At 34.5% G+C, this 4848-nt stretch overlaps 1 annotated feature.

Annotated features, from left to right (window-relative positions):
* Positions 3099–3927: an enhancer, noted in NCBI's record as "OCT4-NANOG hESC enhancer chr9:10921436-10922264 (GRCh37/hg19 assembly coordinates)". NCBI's record gives its function as "activates a minimal SCP1, AML or CMV promoter by ChIP-STARR-seq in naive and primed H9 embryonic stem cells {active_cell/tissue: H9 hESC(naive and primed)}" and the evidence as "EXISTENCE:reporter gene assay evidence [ECO:0000049][PMID:30033119]".

The raw sequence follows: 4848 nt of genomic DNA on the forward strand, positions 1-4848 counted from the left end.
ACAAAATTCATTATATGAGGTGCAGGTGCAAGCAAACTAAGGAAAACCAGGACTCTTAAAAAATCAATGAAGATATTTAAGACTATATTTCCTAGAACTCATGATAAAAAAGCATCAGAATCGGTACACCGCTGTCCAGTTAAGTTTTAATTAAAAGCATAGGAATGGATTTTCTATATATAAAAGCTGCCTACACCATTGCTCATTGAATTCTTCCGTGATTCTGATTCTAGCAAAGCATGCATATCTGACATTCATTTTTTCTCATAGCTTCTACATCTAGGGCATGGCATGAACTAATTTCTCTGACCTCCTGTAGCAAGAGTGTAAATCGAGTAGCTACATAGTAGGATGCAAAGGGAAACAAATGACCCCTGACCTTAATTAGGGCAGTTATTTCTTGCAGAGATAGAAATATACATAAAACATAACTCTATAAGATAGCATATGAAAATGTCAGTTGAATTTAGATCTACCTTTAAGCTCTGCAGGAAACCAATTTCTAGCCAACTTCTATATTCTTAATCTTTATGCTGAAAAATTTTCACTCTGTCACCATTCACCTTCAGGTATTTATAAATTCCACACACTCCCAATATCTTCAATAAAGACTGTCTTTTCCCATCTGTTCACCAGACCAACCAGAGCTCATATGTTCTACAGAAGTATGTACGACATGGTCAACATAAGCATGACGTTTTAAGTCAGGAGCTCTGGATTTTGGCTCTAGCTCTGCTAGTTGCTAGCTCTGTGATTTTGAATAAGTTATTCAGTATTTACTTGCTATCTGTAACTGTAAGATATGGATTATTATAATGGTACTTACCTTAATGTTATTGTATGAAATGAGGCAAAGTATCCAAGGCACTTAGCATACTTCCCAAATAATAAAATGTATGGATATTTTTGGTAGGTGGTGGTGCTCACATAGTCAGATATCTAGAAGGTTTTGCTTTAACTCAATCTGGTAACAGTGCACACTTAACATCTGCATTATAACTCTGGGCTTTCTTGGGCAGACCCATTACTGCTCAATTGCTGATTGTGCTTTGAAGCTGGCATTGCTTCATAAGAGAAAGTAAAGACAACAATACATTTATGATATTCAGCATTTTTATCTTAGTAATTATTGTAAACAGTATAATTGTACTGAAAGACAACAGTACACATGCATTTATTTAGGATTATGGCTGATACTAATTTGGTTTAGTATGCAATGTGTTCTATGGCCCAGTGATATGTAATGCAAGTAATTTTGTTAATTATTGATGATAAACTAGGATCATTAGACTTTTACTTTTAACTTTACTGATTAACATATAAAATTTCTATGAAAAACAGTATTTAACAAAATTCCAAAAATCACATCAATGATTTTATGGTGTTTTGTTTGGCAATGATTTCTTGGCTATGACCCCAAAAGCACACGTAGTAAAAGCAAAATGGACAAGTGGAAACACATTAAACTAAAAAAACTTCTGCACAGCTAAGAAAATCAGAGAATAAAAAGTCAACTTATGGGATAAGAGAAACTATTTGCAAACCATATATCTGGACAAGGAATTAATTTCCGAAACTATAAGGAACTCCTACAACTCAATAACAGAAACAAAACAAAACAAAAACAAATAAACCAATTTAAAGAAATGGGCAAAGGACTTGAATAGAAATTTCTTTGAAGAAGACATACAAATGGCTAACAAGCTATATAAAAAAGTGCTGAATGTCACTAATCTTCAGATAAATGCATATAAAAACTATAATGAGATATGACCATACACCTGTTAAGATGGCTATTATCAAAAAAAAAACAAATAAAAGATAAGTGTTTACAAGGATGTGGCAAAACTGGAACCGTTGTACACTTTTGGTGGGAATGCAAAATGAGGCAACCATTCCAGAAAACATTATAGAGATTCCTCAAAAAATTAAAAATGGGACTACCATACGACCCAACAACCCTACTTCTGGGTACATATAAAAAATAATTAAAATCAGGATCCTGAAGAGTTATCTGTACTCCCATGGTCATTGCAGCATTATTTGTAATAGCCAATATGTACAAAAAACCTAATGCCCGCCAATGGATAAATGGATAGAGAAATGTGGTATGGCCGTGGCAGGTGGATCACCTGAGGTCAGGAGTTTGAGATGAGCCTGCCAAACATGGCGAAACCCCATTTCTACTAAACATACAAAAAATTAGCCAGGTGTGGAGGCAGTCACCTGTAATCCCAGCTACTAGGGAGGCTGAGGCAGGAGAATCGCTTAAACCTGGGAGGCGAAGTTTGCGGTGAGCCGAGATCTTGCCATTGCACTCCAGCCTGGGTGACCAAAAAAAAAAAAAAAAAAAAAGAAATGTGGTATATACATACAATGGAATATTATTTAGCCTTATAAAAGAAGAAAATCCTGCTTTCTGTGACGTTATGGTTGAACCTGGAGGATATTACAAAAGTAAAAGAAGCCAATCAGAGAAGTACAAATATTGCATGATGCCATATATATGAGATACCTAAAATAGTCAAACTCATGGAAGCAAAAAGTAAAATGGTGGTTGCCAGAGTCTGGGTAAAGAGAGAAATAGGAATTGTTCAATGAATATAAAGTTTCAGTTATGCAACATTAATACATTCTGGACATCTGCTGTACAACATAGTGCCTATAGTTAACAATAGTGTATTGTGGACCTAAAAAATTTAAGAGGGTAGATCTTATGTTAAGTTTTCTTACTACAAAACAAAAACAAAAATGAAAACGAAGAGATGGAAACTTTTGGAGGAGGTGATGGATATGTTTATCATCTTAATTTTAGTGATGGTTTCATGAGGGAATGAAATTCTAATTTCATCTAATTGTATACATTAAATAGGTGCCATTCTTTTGCATATCAATTATATCGCAATAAAGCTTTTGATTAAAAAAAAGTTAGTTTAAAATATGCATCATTGGGCACTTCAGTTTAGGGCTGATGAGGGTGTGCTCTGAAATAAAATGTCCTGAGTTTAAGTTATAACCTACAATTTACTCACCATAAAATCTTGCAGAAAATGGTTAATCTTTTTGGACCTCAGTTTATTCATCTTTAAAATGGAAATATTTACAGTACGTCTTTTATAGCATTCTTTTGTATTAACAGGAGATTGTGTTTTTGAAGCACTCAGCATTGTGCTTAGCACATTATAAGCACTCAATAACTGTTTGCTAATACCACTATCCACAAGACAAGTAGACTCTGTGTGATGAGTGCTGTGCAATGTGCAGGACAAGGAGAGAGTGTAGAATGGATATATAAAACAGGAGAGACAACTTTGTCTAGGCAGTTAGTAAGGCAAAGAAACCTGAAGAGGGGACACCAGCAATCCAGATTGAAGGACTGACATGCACAAATCCTTGCACAAGACAGGAAGAAAATAAAGTATACCTGTTGTTTCAAACCGTGTATAAAGTTGAAGTCATTAACCTATGTGTAGCAGGAGGTAACTAAAGGGCATTAAGCACAGGCATTACATACTTAGATATGCATTACAAAAGAAAGAAAGCCTTCCTGCTGCGATGTAGAGAAAAGAAGTGAGAGTAGGAACAATGAGACTTCTTAAGATGTTATTGCAATGACCTAATTATATGAGATTTACTGTTTACAATACTGTTAACCTTTGTATTAGTTTGCATTAAGATTTGGAAAGATAGGATAGAAAGAAATGAGTGAGTCAAAGCAGTGATTTTCAATAACATCAACATTTCTTAGAGTTTTAAAATTATTATTATTAATTCCGTGTCTGGGATTTACACCAGCCTAATTGAATCAGGATCTCTGGAGATGGGACTCAGAGAAGTATGTATTTTGTTAACCTCTCTATACTATTCTAATATTCAGGAGAAATGAAAACTACTAGATAAATACTTAGAAGGAAGAATAGATAAGACTTGATTGATTAAATGTGGAATTTAGAAAGAGGTAGGAATTAAAGATGAGTCCCAAGTTTCTAATTTTTTCTCTGGACAGATGGTAGGAACATTTAATGAGACAAAAATGCTTGAGAGAGAGCCCATTTTTGGTGAAAAGATGGATTCATCTTGGTCATGTTGAGTTTCAGGATCCTAATATACATCCAAATGCAGAGGTAGGGTAGAAAATTGGGTTTGAGATTTGGGACTCAAAAAAAATAATCTGGGTTAGAGGTGTCAAACTAGGGAACATTATGCATAGATGGATGGTACCTGATATTTGGGGAGTGTATATAGACTGCAGAAAATGTTAACAGTGAGAAGAATATCTTAGATTAAATAATGAGGAATTCCAACACTGAATATTTGGATAGAGTAGCAGGAGCCTGGAAGGAAAACTGAAAATGAATGTTGTGTGCTCAAAGCCAAGGGAACAGATTTCAGAAAAGAAGTCTGTGGTCAAATATGTTTACTTCTACTAAGAGACACAGTAATACAAGTACTGAATATGTCTACATGTTCATCTGGAAAAACCCAGGTCTAGTGCAACTCAGCCTCTACTTATCTCTAATCTATACTAAAACAGCAAAAAGTGCCTACAGAAATGTTTTTTAAAATAAAAATTAAAAAAGAACAATCCTACCAAATTTCCCTTGGAAATTTTATTTCTCATGCTCTCACATTTTCTCTTCAATTTCACATCTCTTCATCTTGTAGTCCTGCAGCCTTCATTTTCCACTTGTTATTCTCAACTGATGGACTGATTCTTTTTTATTAAGAAAATAGAAGCAAACAGAAGACAGCTATTTTATCCTCCCAATTCTTTGTCTATTTCCTATCTGCATCAGTACTCACAATCTTCTCTTTTCTTCTTGTTGCCATGGAGAAATGTCCTTATCC

The sequence above is a fragment of the Homo sapiens genome, chromosome 9 (genome assembly GCF_000001405.40).
Source record: "Homo sapiens chromosome 9, GRCh38.p14 Primary Assembly".
NCBI classification, from domain to species: Eukaryota; Metazoa; Chordata; class Mammalia; order Primates; family Hominidae; genus Homo; species Homo sapiens.